The 20613-nt window shown below is 35.8% G+C and overlaps 1 protein-coding gene and 1 long non-coding RNA gene across 6 annotated transcripts in view, besides 2 other annotated features; one reads left to right on the top strand and one right to left on the bottom strand.

The window, feature by feature from the left end:
- PCDH9 (protocadherin 9) overlaps nt 1–20613 on the bottom strand; it is a 927503-nt gene that overhangs the window by 538204 nt on the left and 368686 nt on the right. The gene's annotated exons all lie outside the window — the stretch shown is intronic.
- The window catches only part of PCDH9-AS2 (PCDH9 antisense RNA 2), an 89863-nt gene that overhangs the window by 15869 nt on the left and 53381 nt on the right, over nt 1–20613 (top strand). The window contains exon 2 of the long non-coding RNA NR_046527.1: nt 17951–18083. This is a non-coding gene — a long non-coding RNA (PCDH9 antisense RNA 2). The remainder of the gene's footprint in view (nt 1–17950; nt 18084–20613) is intronic.
- Nucleotides 7276–7777: an enhancer, noted in NCBI's record as "H3K4me1 hESC enhancer chr13:67422445-67422946 (GRCh37/hg19 assembly coordinates)". NCBI's record gives its function as "activates a minimal SCP1, AML or CMV promoter by ChIP-STARR-seq in naive and primed H9 embryonic stem cells {active_cell/tissue: H9 hESC(naive and primed)}" and the evidence as "EXISTENCE:reporter gene assay evidence [ECO:0000049][PMID:30033119]".
- Nucleotides 7778–8277: an enhancer, noted in NCBI's record as "H3K4me1 hESC enhancer chr13:67422947-67423446 (GRCh37/hg19 assembly coordinates)". NCBI's record gives its function as "activates a minimal SCP1, AML or CMV promoter by ChIP-STARR-seq in naive and primed H9 embryonic stem cells {active_cell/tissue: H9 hESC(naive and primed)}" and the evidence as "EXISTENCE:reporter gene assay evidence [ECO:0000049][PMID:30033119]".

Below are 20613 nucleotides of genomic sequence, written 5' to 3' on the forward strand. Positions count from 1 at the left end.
ATGAGCAGCTTAAATAAAAACTGTAGCATGAAGGTATGTTATTTTTTAAGGATAATTTATTTTTCAAAAAATAAATGTGATTAAATCTAAGCATTTCTGTAATATCCAAATTTATTAAAAGACAGATAGCTTTAAAAGGTAGCAAAATTTAAAAATGAAGAAAATGACGATGAGTTTTACAACAGCCTACAGCCACCTAAATAAGGAATGCATAAATATAGGCACATATAAAAGTCTTCTTGACAAACATATGTATGAAAAAATCAGGGATCGTTCTACTACTATGTGTACTCCATGAAAATTATGTGATTTCCCCCCACGCTTGTTTTTCATGTTTAACTAAGTGAACTAGAAGCAGTGAAAATTAAAACAGCATAATATGCTATTGAAAATAAATTCTTTTCTCACATAGTTAAGATCAAGGGATATAATTAGGAATTAGCTATAGGTTATAAAATGTTAAGCAATTTAAACAGCAAATTTTCTCTTTCATTTTTATACTCAACATATTTCATAACAATAAAGAAAACAAGAATAATAATAATTTTAAAATGATGCCATATTTGAAAAGTCTGATCTATAACCCATTCCATCCACTTTTGTTGGAGATTCACTTTTGTTGAGCTATGTGAATATCTTACATAACAATATCAAATATAATAAAAATTATTATTTTGACAAATGTTAATGGAAACACTAATGTTTACTTTGTAGCTCAAAAATGGCTGCTATGAAAAATGGAGGGTTTAACATAAATGTGAAGTTTTATCTGGAGTCCTCCCACAATGATTCTATTGCTTTATTTTTCCTACTAGAAAAGTACTTGGGAAAATATACAATCATGGCATTAGTTCCGGTAAAAGTGATTATGGGATCAGTTAAGACAATGTGAGAAAAACTATGACATTCCAAAAGGAGAAATTACAGATGTTAGAGAACAGCTGGAGGTGAGGATGAGGGGAGGGAGAATCTAGCATAACTCCAGGATTCTTAGCTTGGGAAATTAGGAGCAGAAAAGGTAGGAGAGAATTTAATAGGAATATTAGCATAGACTTCTCTAGGCACACAATATGATACTTTACTAACATCAAATGTAGCTTCATTTAACTTCATAATTTAAAATTATGTTTTTCCTTAATTTTTCTTATACATGGTATGGTCATTTTTGAAATCCAATAAATCCTCATATAGTCACCTTTATGTCTGAGGGCAACATCTGCTACAAAATAATTTACCTATGACCTAAGTCTTATTTAAACATTATACTGAAAAAGAAAATTTATTTCCCTTACTTGCTCTCCCTATGTATACATAGTAAATTAATTCTAATGTGGTTCAAATCCCACTCCTGAAAGCTATCTGCATTGAACAGAAAAGTGTAATTCTTGGCCCCTCTTCCTCTCTCGCCCTTTTCCTTTGAAACTTTTTTTAGGCTTTGTATGAGACTTCCAAAAAAGCCCAGCATGGGTCCCATTGACGATTTGACCTCTTTTAGCCCCCAAAATTCTGTGTTATTTTCCTCATATTATAGAAATAGGGACATTTCATCTCTTTTCTGAACTTAGAATAGCATAAAATTACTTCCAATTTGTGAATAAAATGACAAAATAGCATCAATTTTTGTATACATCAGTGTTTTTGTAATGACATTAACTGTTAATCCTAAGATTTCAAAAATAAGAATAAAATATCATCTCCTGTTTTGGGTAATGGGAATTCAATATTATAAAACTATTCCAAGCACTAATGAAGAGGGAAAGTAATGAATTGGATGAGGGTGAAGGGAGTGATTTTCTTTTCAGATCTGGTAGTGTGAGATGTCTCTCTAACTCAGATATATAGGAAGGAATCAGGCAGTGTTTCAAAATTAAATTCAGAAACATGCCCAGCCTCTATGGAAACCACGAAAGAAGGGCTCTGTATGACAGGCAACAGCAAAATTGCAGCTGCTGAGATTGTGTGTGTAGCCAAGTGCCACTTCACTCTTGATCTATGTTAAGCTGACTGAAGGAAGAAAATCAATTACTATCGGCAGTGAACTTCAGGTAGACCCAGGTTTGAGATGCCAGCTACACACAGGTGTGTGCCCTCAGCAAAGATAATTCTGACTGAACATTCATTAAGAAGGGGTGCTACTGTATTCCCTGCTTTGAGATTTAAGTGGTTGTATTTTACATGTAGACAGAGACAGATGGAAAAGCCCAAATATTGTAAACCTCCCAACATCACCAACAAAAATATCTGCCTTTACTAGTTAAAACTTTTCTAGAAGACTAGGTCTATTAAAGAAGTATTCAGCTACACACATGCACATACATACACACACACACACACACATATACATGCAATTACACACACGTTATAAAATGCTCTGGTGAACACAGTCTAAACTTATTAAAATTAAAATACAAAGGCCACATGTATTGAATATTTGCTGTTGCCTTCAGACTGGAATCCACTTCATTTATTCTAGTAACAGTGTCCAAATTTGCTCCGGACAAACGTCTTCACCTTCAGTCTCTGAATCTGAGGCCAAGGACAAGCAAGGCCCATTAGAAACAGCACCTTCTGTCCTCACAGACACTAATATTTGTTCAGGGATGGCCTTGTGGCTCATTTTCATAGGGAGATGGGGTGAATATCACAGCTAATGTGTACACTCTGGAGAAGACTGCATGCTGAGAACATATGAGCTGGGCCTACTTCTGGGGCCCCATAGCAAAGTCTTTCAAAGGAACAACCCAGAGGAATGAGGTTAAGAGATGGTACCTGCTGGTGACAGTGTTTGGCTCTGAAATGAATGTATCCAAACTACAAGTCAACAAGTGTCCTTATAAATGCCCTTTTGGGGTGATATCATGTATGTAAGTGCATTCAGGGCTTAAATTACCAAACTTACTTCTGTGGTGTCCAATGCATGATGGAACGAGTAGACCTGACTCTAAAATGTAGCAATACTTCACTTTCTAATACATTTTTTTTTCAAGAATATCTGAGCAACTACTGACAAAATGAAAAATGGGGAGTGAGTAGTGTGTGGAAAATCTGTGATTGAGTTCAGTTCTCAATCTAGTTAATTTAGAGAGGAAACCCTACAAATATTCAAATTACGATTTAATCCTGTATTTGATTTTATTTTCCAAATTCTTCATATTCAACACCATAAAAAAGATTAGTTTCTAGCATGAATCAGTGGATAAAATTTCAGAGAAATAAGACAAGAATATACTCCCAAACACTACAAACGGCATGAAAGTCCCTAAAATTGGCCAGGCACAGTGGCTTACTCCTGTAATCTCAGCACTTTGGGAAGCCGAGGCGAGTGGATCCCGAGGTCAGGAGTTCAAGACCAACCAGGCCAACATGGTGAAATCCTGTCTCTACTAAAAACACAAAAAATAGCTGGGCATGGTGGGGGGTGCCTGCAATCCCAGCTACTCAGGAGTGTGAGGCAGGAGAATCATTTGAACCTGGGAGGTGGAGGTTGCAGTGAGCCGAGATCGTGCCACTGCACTCTAGCCAGGGTGACAGGGCGAGACTCTGTCTCAAAAAAAAAAAAAAAGTCCCTAAAATTGACATAACCTAAGTAGCACGGTAACCATGAGTATCCAGCCTGTAAGAATTCTTTGTAAAGTGGAGAATGTCTAAAACTTATATTTCATGCAATGGTTGTTTTGGTTATTAGAGAAGTTACCTCATCCTGCCACATGTCCATGTTTTTGAAGTAATTTAGTCCAAAAAAGAAAAATAAAATCCAAAAAGCACTTCTCATATTCTTATAGAATCTTAGGTAGCACGTTCATACTCTCTAGGGCAAAGAAAATAAAATGTTAAAAGAAAGCCCAAAAGCCACGAGCATATTGTTTAGGGAAACTTGGGGTGTTGCTTCACCAGCCAGAAAACTCTATGGCCACTGGTGCCTTTGCCTGAGTTTTGCTTGTCTGGATGAGTCTGGGTTTTTTACGGGTTTCAGAGGGGAAAAGTGTATGCTGACTCGTCCATAGGCAGCCATGGGTGGGCCTGAAAAAAGAGCCATAAGTTCTCACTCCAGTCTGCAGCCAGGCCCCCAGCCTTCAAGCCGCCCTGGCTTGAAGGTGGGGCTTCACGAGGGACCTGCCCCTTTCTGCCCAGGAACCTGTCTGCCTCCGACCGCTGTTCATAGTGCCCAGGCTTATGCTAAGGGGCAGCTGTAGGCCAGTGCCAAGCTGCCCTCAGCCCCACTTCAGCCTCCCTCCCATGCTCATCGGTGCCCAAAGTCCAGAGGGGGCTGAGGCAGCAGGGAGCTGGCATCTCAGCGCTGCCGTGAGCGTGTGTTCACCTGGCCAGGTTGTGACAGCGCCCTGGATCAGCCTCACCTTTGCTTTGAGATCTGGCGCGGGAAGCAGGGAGAGGCTAAGCAGCAGGACCAGGCATTTCTGAGCCCGTGTGGGCAGGGAGGCTTCCTGGGTCCCCAAGAGTGAAGAGATGCCTGGGTCCACAGCCATGGGTTGGGTGGCTATAGCTGCGACTGGGAAGTCAGGGATCCTGCCTGCTCCCGGCCCCCAAGTGCACAGGGATGCCTGGATCCACAGCGCTAGCTTGGGCAGCAGCCGCTGCACCTAGGAGGGCAGTGCTCCTGCTTGCTCCGTGGAGGACACAGTGCCAACTGCACCTCCCTCACTGCAGCTGGCATCACGGCAGTGGCTGCTCCATATGGGCCGCCACTGCCATCAATACTTTTGCCATAGGTTGTGGAACAATTCCCCAAAAAGGAAAATGTTAAGTTCTCAAACTCAATGTGTCCCTCATAGTTAAATGTAACTTATAGCTTTGTGTATTATTTTAATACTACTACTAATAATAAATAGTTACAACATGCATAAATATACTTTATCATATAAACACACACATATGGGCCTTTCAAGACACAGATTAAGCTGGTAAATATGTATTTACATACTTCAAGTGGGGATCAGTACAATGATAGCTGATAATGTCATCCATGTATTTAGAGAGTTTAAAATATGGATTATCAACAAGATGGGCCATAACATTTCTACTGAGGCCATTACAATCCAGGATGTAAACACACATAGATAATGCAGGGGGAAAAAAAGACCAAAAAAAAAAAAAAAACAGCTTATATACAAGCAGTGAATTAAAGCTTTCTGGGAGCTAAATACAGGATACTGGTATATATTTAGAAAATGATTTGTAAAGAACTTGGAAAAAAATTACTAAACACGTAATACCTTTTCAATAGCAAAACCAAATTTTGTTTTGTCTAAATATGCAAGGAAATCTCAAATGTCAATAAAAATTAGTTAACATATTTTGTTAATAAGCAGATTTCAATCTCGCTGACTGATAGAATATATGAATGCCTTTTTTCACTACCAACATGTTGACCAGATGTTTTTTTAGCCACCTAAAATACTAGAAGTGGAAAACAATTAAATCACCTAAAATAATGTAAATATTTCTTTCATATTTTTAAAAACTGTATTTTTAGGAATATGATTCATATTGTTTGTCTTGTGAGAGTTATTACATTCCTTTTTCTTTATTTTTCTCTTGCTTTATATTTTATCTTCGCTTTCCTTCTCGTTCACTTCTTGCCAGAAATAAAATTATTATTCACTGTATTAAGCTAGAGTCCCTTTGTATCAGGTGAATATCCATCTCTGAAAAACATATGCCTATGACTAAGAAAGTTTTTTAAACACTGAGCAAAATTATCAACAATTTTTAAAGTATATTTTCTTTTCCTTGATTTTCTATGCAAAGGCTGTAATAGTAAAACTTGCTATGAAAGAGAACAAAATCTTCCTCTGGGCATTCTATCAATCTCTCTCCCTTTCTCATAATACACACACACACACACACACACACAAACACACACAGAGTATATCACTAAATCCAGTTTTTCCTGATAAATAAGATAACTTATTAAAAGCTGATTTCAAAATTCAAATGAATGATTTCCCCCATTTTTCTGATCAGGTAAATAAATAAATATTAGAAACTAGACACACAAAATAAAAATATGTCTAAATAACACATCTTCTAAGTTGAATACACTAAACCTATTAAGTAACCTCTCTTTTAGAAAAGATTTGCATTAATGTTGTCACCAAAAAGATTGATTTAAAATCATTTTCATACACCTAAATATTCATGTAAAGCATTCAAGTTGTTTCTTTAATAAAATTGATTCCATAATAGGTTGTTTTCCTTTTTACTGTGATTATAAGCCATTTTAAAGTAAGACATTTGCTATTTCACACCAACAAGTTTTTATAAAATACATTTCTATTTGTATGTATTTAAACTGAATATCCCCCCTTATGAGGGGGATGTGTTCTAAGATCCCTAGTGGGTGCCTGAAACTGCAGGGGTTTTTTCTCCTGTACATACATACATAATAAAGTTTATAAGTTAGGCACAGTAAGAGATTAATGACAATAACTAATAATAAAATAGAAAATTCTAACAACATACAGTTCAACAATTTCACAAATAGAAGATTCATTCTTACAGATCTTAGCAATCTCAGCATACTATTTTTTTCCTTGTTAATTCCAGAGCTTTCACCTATTAACTTAAAAGGAAGCATTTTATGACGTCTTTTCGACATATCTGAAGTGCCAGCATCACTACTCATGAGCTTTGGGGGCCATTATTCAGTAAAATAAAAGTTACTTGAACACAATCATTGCAATACTGCAGGTCAATCTTCTACTAAGTGACTAACGAGCAGGCAGCATATAGAGCCCAGAGACAGAAGATGCACAGGCCACATGGGATGGAGCAGGACAGTGTGAGATTTCATCACGCTACTCAGAGGCGGCAACGTAAAAGTTATTGTTTATTTCCAAAATTTTCCATACAATATATTCAAATGGTGGTTGACCATGGGTAACTGAATCTCCAGAAAGGGAAATCTTTTATAAGAGGAGCCATTATGATTATTTGTGTATTTGTGTATGTGTGTTTATGTTTTTAGTTTGATTCTTCCACTATCTCTGATTTCTTATTACCCATGGCTTATAAGAAACACCAATCTCCTGTATTTCAGCGTATCTCCTATATCCATGCCTAAAAAGCAAGTAATATTTGAATAAAAGATGTATTGCTTTTACTTAAAAGAATGATTTCCCCTCCTATTTTGCTATATTAGAAGAGAATATTAAAAGTATTAAGCTTAATAAAAATAAGCTATATATATAATTATGGGACATTTACAATTTAGAAATAACTAACATACTTTTTAAACTCTACAATTACATTTTTCACCTCTGCTTTTGCTAAAACCAGACAAGATTATATTCAAGTGGCCATTCACATTTTATTGTTTTCTTACATTACCAAAAGATAAAAAAGTCATTTTAATTGTTTGTTAGAACTTAATCAATCAAACATTTACGCTTAAAAAGCATTAACAGCAGATCCTGAGTAGTATAATTTAATTGGTTTAATGTGGGAGTATTAATAAATATCCACACTCTGTCACTAATGGCTAAATATAAATAGCACTCTACAACCCAAATCTTATCATCAGTATGCAGTTTAGATAACACCACATACTCTGGGAATATGATTTCTAGAATGTATAAGAGGAGCCAAAATCGGCCGGGCGCGGTGGCTTACACCTGTAATCCCAGCACTCTGGGAGGCTGAGGCGGGCGGATCACGAGGTCATGAGAGCGAGACCATCCTGGCTAACACGGTGAAACCCCGTCTCTATTAAAAATACAAAAAATTAGCCGGGCAGGGTGGCGGGCAACTGTAGTCCCAGCTACACGGGAGGCTGAGGCAGGAGAATGGCGTGAACCCCGGAGGCGGAGCTTGCAGTGAGCCGAGATCGCACCACCGCACTCCAGCCTGGGTGACACAGCGAGACTCCGTCTCAAAAAAAAAAAAAAAAAAAAAAAAATAGAGGAGCCAAAATATGTTTTCATTGGTTATAAAGAGCATACAGTAACTTCACTACCAAATATTCTGTGTGATCTCCTTTAAGTTAACAGTTCTAATAAATTAGCGTTTTAGAATATGATTCCTTTGTAGCAACTTTTATCATCTATTCAAGTCATAATAATTGGGTATCCAAAGATTTCTATTGCTTAATTTTTCTTCCATGGTAATATATTGATGATATATGGTCATTTGACCAATATTACTATAACCACTACTATTAAGGTGCAAAATCCAGTGACATTCATCTGTTCTGTTAAACCAGAAAGAATACTTAATTTGGCAATGCATGTGGTTTTGTTAAATTATAGGTTGCAATACATTCTTCTTCAGGGTACAATGAATTTGATGAATTATCAGGTTTGTATCTACCCAGGTGTCCTATGGGATCCCATGTGATAAGACATTCAAGGATGATACCATATATATATGAAAATATATGACTATATATGACTATATATGACAATATATGACATCTATGACAATCATAGGTAGGTATATATATATATATATATATATATATATATAGAGAGAGAGAGAGAGAGAGAGAGAGAGATTGCAAATCTTACCTGGGAATGCCTTTAAGGCATGAGTGGGATGGGAGAACTGTGCCGCTTTAAGGTAATGAAATCTAGGAGAATCAGTAAATCTAACATCCAGCCTCAGGGAAGAATGTGTGATTAAGTCATTTGAAGAAGGCAAAGGAGCAGAAATCAGAGGTGTGTAATTGTGATTCAGACTCAGTGCCAATGAGAAATGAGATTGGAAGAAGTCTCTGGTAATATAAGGAGCTACCAATAGACGCTGCTTTTATCACCCGTAAGTCTTCAAGAAGAGCTACCAGAAACAGACATTGCTGAGAACGATGACTGACCTTGGTGCTGGCACATTAGCATACAGGGAATGTCAGGTCAGGCTGCATAGATGCCTGGGCACAGCTGTTCTTCAGTATGCATCACTCTACAGGGAAGGAAAGGTCAGTCCCTAGCGGCCACTTAATATCCTGGGGGAGAAGTAGATAGTTGTTCTTGCAATTTTCCACTTACCAATTTCCTTTTTAGTGGCACAAAATTATTGTTATAATAATACAATTATTGTTGTATTATAATATTACAACAATAATTTTGTGCCACTAAAAAGGAGGTGCAGAAATCTTGACTGATTGCTTAAGAACACTAAAGTGACACCACTAGAGAAACATATTATTTTGATGGTAAGGTACAACTATCAGAAAGTAAGTTCAATTGGCCAGTCATGGTGGCTCACGCCTGTAATGCCAGCATTTTGGGAGACTGAGGCAGGCGGATCACCTGAGGTCAGGAGTTCAAGACCAGCCTGGCCAATATGGCGAAGCCCCATCTCTACTAAAAATGCAGAAACTAGCTGGGCATGGTGGCAGGCACCTGTAATCCCATCTACTCAGGAGGCTGAGGCAGGAGGAACCTAGGAGGCGGAGTTTGCAGTGACCTAAGATTGTGCCACTGCACTCCAGCCTGGGCAACAAGAGTGAAACTCTGTCTCAAAAAAACAGAAAAAAAAAAAATGTAAGTTAAATTAGCAACATAATAGGAAAAGACATTAAACAACAAGGCATGGTTATCATTTCCTTTGTTCAGAAAGTTATCTGATAAATTTAAAATCTATTGAAGTTTCACTTAAAGATGATAACAAAAATGATTTCTTCCCTTGATGTGAAAATATATTCCAGTGATTATCCCCCTCATATTTGTTATTTTCCATTTGCAATGACTGCAAATTCTGACATGACTGTACATTGAGCTGAAGCATTAAAAAGTTTTAGTTCAAACAAAGGAATCAATCTTTGTAGGAAATATTTCTGTTTGAAAATACGCCCAGCTGATCTTTCAGATATCTTACATGGAGTCTCCTGTTCTTCTCAAGTTATATCACAGTGTTAAATGCTTTGAAATAGTGTACTTACAGACAAGCTAGTCTTTTCTGAACTGAAATTTCGGACCTCCTTGAGGAAATTCTGCCTCTGACAACTTACATATTTTCAAAGAAATGTTGAATTAAACCAATAGAAATCTAGTTTAGGTTCTTCTAACGCCTTTTGAATATGAGGCAATGTACCTACTTTCAAAGAACTTGAAAATATAAAGTATAACAAAAGACAGGAAAGCATGTGAGAAACTCTTCTAAAATACATGCTGCCCTTAGACAATTTTCCTTTGAATTCTGCAACAAAAGCGTTAGTATCTAGAAATATTTCAACCTATTAGAGAAAAATAATCTCCTCTGACTGAATTGCAAAATTCTCGTCTGTATTATAAAGATTCACAAGCTCTTTAAAACAGAAATACAAATAAATTTATTGATAAAGGGCCTATTCAACATGTAACAGTAGGTTTATACAATGATGAATTGCAAAACTTCTCAAAAAAAAATAACTTAAAATGAACAGTGATTTTTAAAAGTAAAATCTTTAAATTGTATGTCCATACTAAAAATTTAAGAGTTAAATTACACACATCTATGAGAAGTATGTATTGTTTCATCTCTAGGAGTTTAGATTCTGAAGTTAAACTGCCTGAGTTCTATGTAACACCCACCCGCATCACCCTCACACACACACACACACACACACACACACACACTCATTTTATTGACTCTGTGACCTTGAGCAAGTTATTAGGTTGGTGCAAAAGTTATTGCGGATTTTGCCATTACTTTTAATAACTTACTGTAGACTTGGGTTCTTTGACAACCAATGGCTTATACTAATTTGTCTTAGAATTTATAGCACAACAAAATGAGAATATGTTAAAACTCTTTTCTTGGTCTGCTAAGAAACTTGACAAAATACTGTGGACTAGGTGGCTTAAAAAACAGAAATTTAATTCTCACAGCTCTAGAGGCTGGGAAGTCCAATATCAAGGTGTCAGCCAATCTGGTTTCTGGTAAAGTTTCCCTTCCTACCTTGCATATGCAGCTGTCTTTTCCCTATGTCTTCATATGGCCTTTCCTCTGATTGTGGGTATGAAGAGAGAGCTCTGGTCTCTCTTCTTCTTCTTATAGGGACTTTAATTCTATCAGTTCATGGCTCTACCCTTATAACCTCATTTAACCTTAATTACTGCAATAAAGGCCCTATCTCCAAATAGTCACACTGGGGGTCAAGACTTCAACATATCATTCTACAAGGTAGTAATAGTAGGCCTTAATCCTCAATCCATAGTAGCTCTATATGCTGATAACTATTATAATATTGATGATGATGATGATGACAGTGATGATAATGATAATGTTGCCCACTCACTAACAGAGGGACATCTTCCTAGAAAGTGTCATTCAGCTATGTTATCTGTTAGACAAAGACTCATTAATCATTTTCCCTCTCAATCTGTTGATGTAAGCATTGTTAATCATCCTTCTCTGATCTTAGTTTCTCTCTTCCTATTCTACTTAAACCCTATAAAGGTAAAACATTTAATGACCTAATTACCAGTTAAAAGAGAAAAAGAGAAGGTGTGAACAGGAAAGATACATATGTATAATCTCTCATTTTCCTCTTGAGAACTGAGACTGAGAGGAATAACTTCTCCAAGGCCAAATTCACAACACCCCTTCCCCCAAAGTGACACCCTTCTTACCAACTTCATCTTCCTAATAAGGTGATCAGATATTTTATAGAACTTGTTCCTGGCCTCTCTGAAATGCTGATTGCATTTACTTTGGCATATTTGTAAGTAAAGTTTCTTTGGTAACATTCATGTATGAACTTCATTTTCTTTTATGCTCTAAGTCGCATGACTCAAGTAGACGGTGTACCATGTAATCTCTATGCCAAATACCTGGGATACAGGTTACAAATACAGATTCCTGAACTCCATAGCAAATCTACTTGATTAGACTATCAGGAGGTGACATCCACATATCTATACATTTTTTTTTAACAATAGAGTCCTTAGGTGATTTTTATTTACACTGAAATTTGAGACACAGCAAACGCAGAAGGAAAAAAGAGAAGAAGAGAAATAGTAAGAAATTACTTGAGAAGCTTGTTTCTTTTCATTAACAGCACTAAATACTCTAATTATTGATGTAATCTGAACATTAGAGATAAGAATATAAATTATAATTTTAAAATCTGTAGAATTATTTTCTCCAGTATAGTACAGAAATAGTCAAAAACAACAAATGGTGGTTATAAAAAAAGTTAGTTTACCAGTCAAAATCTGAATAGTAGCAATAATAATAATAATAATAATAATAATAATGATAAAATATACCAGTTAAGTAGTAGCTGATTCTAAGAGGATCTAAAGAGTGCTAAAATGACTAGGAATCTTTCTGGTCTCCATTCCTTACTCTCAGCTACTTCACTCTTTCCAAATTTCAGATCTCAGTGTTTCCTTCTTTTCACACTCTCCTGCCCCAAAGCTTCTGGAGTCCCATCCATTTCCTTTCTCAGACCTCCAGCAATGCCTTTGATCTGGAGGAGTCTCCATACCTGTCATTCATCAAATGAATGTGAGTTCCTAATCAATTGCACTAGGGATATATATTTTTAGCCTTTCAACTAGGAACTGTGTTTTCTCAAGGAAACATTGTTGTAGAAGGTGGTTCCAAAAGTGCTATTGGTGTTCTTTTTCCAGTGTAGTTTCACTATGAGATAAATGGGCTTAGAGGGGCTGGTTTAGGACACTACCTGCTGTGTTTATATAGAAAATTTCCAAAAGACTCACTTACAAATAAACCTTGGGATAATGACTGATTCATAAATCATTTCCTTTTTTTTTTTCAGGAGACAGGGTCTTGCTATATCACCCAGACTGGACTTGAACTCCTGGGCTCAAGCAATCAACATGCCTCAGCATGCTGATTAGCTGGGACTAAAAGCACATGCCACCACACCCAGCTATGAATCATTTTTAATGGGAATATACATTGAGAAAACTATGAAAATATTTAAATGATGTAAATTGGAGAAAAATATAGCCTCACAAAATATACAAAGAGGAAAATATTATTTTACATTTCAATAGCATAGTCAAAGATGTGAGGTAAAGCTTTGAACATGAGATTCAAAAATCAAAGAAGCACTAAAATGTAAAATGCTGTTCTTTTAGCTACTAGTATTGCTCTTTTGTGAATAATTGAGTATTGTACTGCTTATAATGAGAAGTATAGCATAGTGGTTGAAGCTTTGAACTTGAGCAGACATTGGTTCCAACACTGTCTAGTCCACTTGTAGTTGTATGACCTTAGTTTTATTTCTTTAAGCCTTTACTTTTCTTTGTCTGTAAAACAGCAGTATAGTCATGGCTGCTAAATGAATATAAAGTCCCTGACCTGACATTTCTTCAATAAATGCTTTCGTTATTATTTTTTATTATAAAATCATCTTTGTACCATTGCTCTCCTAAATGGTTCTGAATAAAGAATCTTCATTATTCATGGATTCTATATTCGTGAATGTATATACTTGCTAAAATTTGTAATGCACAAATCAATATTCACAACATTTTTGCAGTTATTCACAGACATGTAGAGCTCTGAAAAATTTGAGTCACGGATGCACATGTTCCCAGCTGAGGTTGAACAAGGCAATGCTGTTTCAGCTCTCATATTGTAACCAAGTGTCTTTTTTAATGTCTATTTAGTGCCACTTTTTTTTTTGTATGTTTTTGCTTTTGTTGGTGATTTTGCCATTTGAAATAGACCCCAAACATGGTGCTGAAGTGCTGTTTAATGTTCCTAAGCACAAAAACTCTGTGATATGCTTTACAGAGGAAATGTGTTAGATAAGCTTTATTCAGGAACGAGTTATATTGTTGTTGGCCAGGAGTTCAACGTTAACGAATCAACAGTATGTGTGAAATAAGGTGTCTTTAAACAGAAACGTATATAAAACAAGGGTCTGTATTGATTGATATATGGAAATGTAATCAGAGTTTTCCAGGAACCCAAATCTTTATCTCCCCTAGGAGCAGCGTTTCAGAATTCACAAATAAAGTGCTTGAGGTGACTTTATAGAACATAACTATTGCATATAACAAGACCTGAATGCATTCCTTTCTAAATGGAAATCTAAACACAGAGTTTGAAAATTTAGGTAACACTAAATTCCCCTTTCTTGTACTTCATAAGTAACGAAGTATGAGGAAATTATAAAAGGTGTAAAAGTGGGTTTGGCATTGTGCTACCAATGCTAATGGGAAGATGACTTGTCTGTGCCCTTGGATCATGTCCTTGTGATTCTATTGTATTTAACAATAATGTGAATTTGGTCCATGAGAAAGATGTCATTTCTCTCATTCACTACAAAATGATAACATAAGATGAGTAATCAGCTCCAACCTTTGCCTTACAACTAGTATTTCAGAAATGAATAATGGATTACGGATTGCTGTGTTGTAATAATGTCTTGATTGATTGTTTCCTTAATATGTGCTGAGTGCTGACAAAGTACAAATCTCCCAATCTGCTGTGATGGGACCACTGTTATTAAAGAGTACAATTATGCTTTTGGAGCCTTCATTCATTTTCTGATTTTGCTAGACTTTTTCTTGAAGAAATATAAACAGCTCTTTAACTGACAAAGTACTGAAATAGTGTACATATATTGAGCTATTATTCCAGACACTATGTTAAAGAATATATATATATAGCAAACCTCTTAATTATGTGTTATTATTGTCCTTATTATCCCAACTTACTGACAAAAAAGGCTCAGAGAGTTCAGGAATTTTCACAAAGTGAATGATTGATAAAGCTGGGAAGTCAAACCCTTGGATAATGTACTGGTTTACTGTCTTTTCTGTTCTTTTCACAGGGAATGATAATTTGTTGGTATTTATATATGAATAAACATAAAAAACTCATATACTATCTACTTGTGTAAAAATGAGACATTTTTATCATGGATAAGATCTATTGAAAGGATAAAACCTTAGAAATTCTATAAATGACTTCAAAATAAAATAAAAAGACATGAAATCATGAATCTCAAAAAAATTATGAACATGGTTTACTAAGTTTTTTTATAGAGAGGTAAATAGAGAAAGGTGGATTACTTGAATACACTATAGGTATAGGTTTTTACTTCAATAAATACTGTTTTATCTTCAGATTTTCTTTATTCCTTTTACTTTCCATAATAATAAATGATTTACTAACTTCAATAACGCATATAAATAGGAACCTTAAAAAGTGATAGTGTCTTGGTAATTTCTCACACATTGAGGCAGGTTTGACAGATAATAGATTAGTTTAAACTAAAGTTTTTATTACCATCTTAGAGACTGTAAAAGAAGAGTAAAACACACTGCACATCAAGGGGCTATGAGAAAGTTGCAGGTAATCTCTTTTCAACTTATGAAAGCAATGGGAGTTCAAATGCATGTAAGACACTGAGCCTTGCACAATAAATATGGAACAAAGTAATAATTAGTTTCTCTGATCACTTGAAAATAGGTTATCAACCACAATAAATAACTTATTTTGAAAAAAATAGTTTCTGCCTTGAAAGTATTTTTAAAAACCTGTAGCAACAATAACAGGAAGTTAATTTTCTCCCAGTGTTTTTTCAGACACAGGATATGTGTTTTTTCTCATTATCCTTCCTCTGAAAAATCAAGAGTCCCCATTAAAATTTTTTATAAGAGGTTTATCCACCCTGTCCCTTTGATTAGCACTATTGCCAGAGGCCCACAAATTAGTAGGCGATGTAAGCCTACCATGGCGTTATAAAAATAAAACTTTTATTGTAAATATGGATTTTCAGTAACCGTCTTAGCATTGATATTAATAATATCTTATGCCAAACGTATGATATTCATCACTTAATCTCATCTATACTTATGTGCTTTCACCAAAATAGCGTTTCTACAATCATATACCCTAATAACCAGGTACAAGTCTTTTTACCTTGAAAAGGAATGGATTTACCTTGTAGGTGGGGCATACACTATTGAACATTTCTTTTTTCATATAAAAATAAAGTCTTTCTCTTCAAAAACCACATAATTGAGTATAAGGAATCTGTCAGTCTCTGTATAATATTCAACATCTTAACCCATCAACCTCTTCACTTTAAAATAATTCTGTATTATTTTAGTCCTTTTAATTTTTTATTTAACTTTCTATTTTTCAAGAATTTAATCACGCCCATTAAATTTCTCTAGCCATGATGCTAAATTCTCTGCATCTATCTTAACTTCTAAGGTCCCTGAATGCTAACAATATTTGATAGCAAAGTCTTTGAAGAGGTCAGAGGCTGTTGAGAGAGGTGTGCTTTATTATAAATCCATAATGTATGTTTCACGTTTGAAGTTCAAAGGACTAATTTACCTTGGAGCAAATAAGCATTATTCCATTGGTACATTTGGTTTACTGAAATCCCTTAGAAAATAAATGAGCAGTCAAGAATTTTGTTTTCATCTTATTGATTAGCAATAAGTGTGCAAAGGAGTGAGAGTGGAGGAGGTAAGAAAAAAGAATCTGAAGAAACAAGAAAGCAGTCTATGAAAATGTAGGTGCTCTACCTGTACATTGCAGAAAATTGGTGTGCTAAAAGCAACAATGTCTAGAGGTCACCAGGAAACAAATACAGAACTTTATTCATATTGACCTATTGATACCCTAATATAAAGTACATATTTTTCATCAGAAGTTTAAACAAATTCATTCTTTATTTGGGGGCTGTATATTCATATATTTTTTTTCTATGTATAATCATCCCATTCCGACTAAATGAGTGATTTCAGACTGGTTAGTATTATTTGACAGGGAAATGAAATGTAGTACACATGAAAGCTTCATAGATCATTTTGTCCCATAATTATTTCTTACAAAATATGATCCACACACTGAAAGTACAGCACCTTTTCCTCCCAATTCATAGACATACTGATATTATTTGCTTTGTCACAGCAGTATCCCCAAAGCCTCAAAGCCAGGGACAAAACAAAAAACACGCCCTCAATCATTGAGCTGCTTATCTCCTACCTTGCGCCTAATAACCCAGGAAGCATCCCACTATCAAAGTGCTGGGATGACTAGACTCTGTGGAATCTTCCTTTCATCAAATTAGTTAATGTGCCTTTAAAATAGCATCCTTACTAAGATAAATAACACAATTAAATTACTAAAGTCACCTCTGCCTCTTCCCAAAGCTTAAACATTGTAAATTTATTCCATTTTTATTTGATTTGTTTTTTCTCTTTTGATTCCTAGAGATTACATTGTGGAGAGTATGCCATTAAATAACAAGCTCCATAAACCTGATAAAAACAATAGGACAGTTATTTTCAAAAACTTACTTGAGTTTTCGTTTTGTTTATTTTATCTAGAAATCAGTTTTGATCCTTATAAACTTTGCTTAAATTACGTCATTGTTCTTCTTGTGGTACAGATGAAATGTCCAAATTCGTTAGATGACATACAAGGTTACAAGTGGCCTGTATTTCTGTCTTTTCAAATCCATCTTGTGCCATGTCCAAACCTAACACCATTGGGCCAGCCACTTTGATTACTTACACTTACATTAAGCCTAACACTCATTGGCACATAATTTCCCTCTGTGTAGAATTTCCTAGCTTCTCCTTCTTCTTCCTCCCCTTTTATTTCCTGAATACTCTTTTATATTTTAAGAATCAGTTCAAATTTTAACATATCTTTGAAGCCTTCTCTGCCCTGCCACCTTCATATCATGGCAACCATGAGACAGAGTTTGCTAAGTATTTCTGAATATTCCTAGAAATTTCTATTTTATTGATACGAATTTAATAATAAATTAATTGTAATAATTCTCACAAGTTGTAATTATTTGTTTACATGTCTGACTCCTTGATTAGGTAACAACTCCTCACACTTCTATTGATATTTGTTTCACAGTGCTTAGAAGAATGTCTGGCTGACAACAGACACTTAATGCCTCATAAAGCCCCTTCTGTTGTCTCTCCGACTTCCTCTGATATCAATTTTATGATGTCTACAACATCACTACATAGTTTTATTTAATATTTTACAGTAATTATTGGTATAAATGAGCTTTGTGAAGTCGACTGTTCAGTGCCCTGAATATCAGCTGCTTGAAAACATCTGAAAACAAAGACATTCATTTACATCTCTGTCCATGTTACCCTCCTGAACATGTGTGCCTGGTAAGTCCTGATTTTTATAAAGAACAACAAATGGCTGTCATGTTAGTTTACACATTTGAAAGTAGAAAATACAAGTGAAACTCTTTCTTCTCCCAATCACTAATTAGACCTTTCTATTTGCGGGACACTCGAGACTCTACTCCACCACTGTTAACATTTTCTTTTTGGTGTAGTAATAGGTAGTATGATTCATCTTTCCTTTGGTTGGCATTTCCTCATTTTAATTTCTATTAGTGTTTGTATTTGAACAAGAAGGGCCTTTTAAATGCCAACTCTTAACTAACACTTCAGCTTACATACAGTTCAAGGGTAAAATTTAGGTTAGGTTGATTAATTGTATTTATGCAAAATCTTATAAAAACTATCTATGGGTTTTACATTCACTATTTAAATGCTCACAGGAAAAGAAAGTCTGCATGTGTTTTCAGGCACAAAAATCATTTGAGTGCAACTTTAGTGAAGAAACTTCGTGATTAAACCAGTATATAATACTGTTTCAGGTAAAGTAATATAAAGTAACCAAAGTTAAATGAAGTAATTTCTTCCTGTATCAATATTAACCTGAGTGTGAAGGCATTTCTAAATGCAAATTTTAAAATTATTTTGAGAAAATACAGTATAAGAGCAATTATATAATCCATGAAGAAGGTACATGCGGAGAATTCATGCTGGTGTCATTGTCACATAATTACTGATTGCTTTGTAATCCTTTGTTTTTAAGGAAATGCACCCCTACTAATACAAAAGTTAACTTGTTTGTAACCTAAGAAAGCACAAGCCATTTGAATGAAATGGATTTTCAAATTTTACAAATTTACAGACATCTGCACCCTAGATTTATTATGGCCTGCTGTATTTTTAGGTCGTTAGTCAGTCTGTTGCACTACAAGGTAGATTGGGTTATAAAGAAGTATATAGGGAATTATGCAGTAGGCCAATCATTCAATGTTATGTAAATGAAATGAGGGTAATAGAGTCAAGGACGCCAGAGCAAACAGTTTATATTTCCAAACAATGCCAGTGTCCACTCCAGTCTAACAAAGCCTGTCCTGAGTGGCGTCTGTTTTTGGCTAGGGATAAAAAGGAGAATCTTCTCCCTCCTAACCTTCAGCTATGTGAATGAACCCACAGTCCATAAGACCTCACTCTACCTAAAGCTATATAAGCATTCGCAGCAGCTTCTGGAAAGATGCCACTTCTGTGCTTTATTGGCTGGGGGAGGGGAGGGGTGGTGGAGGGGAGCTGCTACCCTTGTCCCAAGGTTCAGCTTGCTGGTGAACATAGCTAACACCAGTTTCCGGTCCCAATTTTACAGGAAGCTAATATAAGGAGGCATTGTGGGAGGCTCCCGTCAGTGCCACAGCACTTGATCTGAAAAGACATGGAAAAATTCAAATTCCAAAGCTGTCAGCTTGCAAACTTTCAGCAGAGAGAAAAGCCTCACTTTAAGAATGTAAACAAGGACAGTGAAGGTCTTGCTATCTAAAGATATCAGCATGCAAGAAGTGCTCTGGCAGCTTGAACACGCTGAGGCAGTGGCAAACCCCAGTGTCCTGTTGTGAGACTGAGCCTACCTTAGAGACTCATGGCACTGTCTTCTTCCTGCTAAGTACTTTACCTGTGATTGCAATGGCAGATTCTTCAAAAGAGCGAAACAGAGGTCTAACTCTTTAGAAGCAGCAGCAGTCTCTCTGAAAGAAGCAGTTTGGCATTTCCAGGGGAAAGGTCATTTCTTTACACCTCTGAAGAGGATAGATAACAATAATAGAAAGAATATCAGGCATGAAAAGCTACATTTTCCTAGACCCCTAAAGGAAATCATGACACAGCTGTGAAGCTGGTACTATGAGCCAATGCACTAATTTATCCCACTTGAGTGCATTGACTTTCCTCTTCTCTGAACTGGCATCCCAGCTGGGAAAAGAAATGTTTACTGAGACTTGCTGAATTTTATTAACAGGTCTAGTGGCTCCTTCTAAGTTGCAAAGAAGAGGTACCTCTAGTGTAGGTGAGATATGGGGTGGTGTGAAAATCACCCAAATGTACTTGAAAGATAGTACTCTTGTGACCCAAGGAAGGATAATATCGAGTTAAGTGCGGCACTTTCAGTTCATCCAGCATAAATATCAGTGCCAAGGCAATCACATGGAGGGCCCTTGGGATACTGGGGTGATAAATCAGAACTTGGAAGGAAGCCTCCAAAATTACCCTGATTGCAGTGTCTAAGGAACAACTGATTGAGCCCTCTATTAGAAACTTTTCCCCATCAGAAAACAGAGAAATATTTTGTCACACATTATCTAAAAGAGCTGCATTGTTACAGACATTCCTATTCAATTATTTATATATCCTCTTTCTGGTAAATCTCATCTGATTCTCTCTCCTTTCTAAATGTCACAAGTTTTACTCTCCCACTGGCACTGATGTTAACATTTGAAGGGGGAAAAGGTTGTACTTAAGTTTAATAGATTTCATATTTAATAACGTAGTCAATAAAGTCTGTCCACTTAATCAGTCAAAGGCTATTCCA

Source organism: Homo sapiens, chromosome 13 (genome assembly GCF_000001405.40).
Source record: "Homo sapiens chromosome 13, GRCh38.p14 Primary Assembly".
Lineage (NCBI taxonomy): Eukaryota > Metazoa > Chordata > Mammalia > Primates > Hominidae > Homo > Homo sapiens.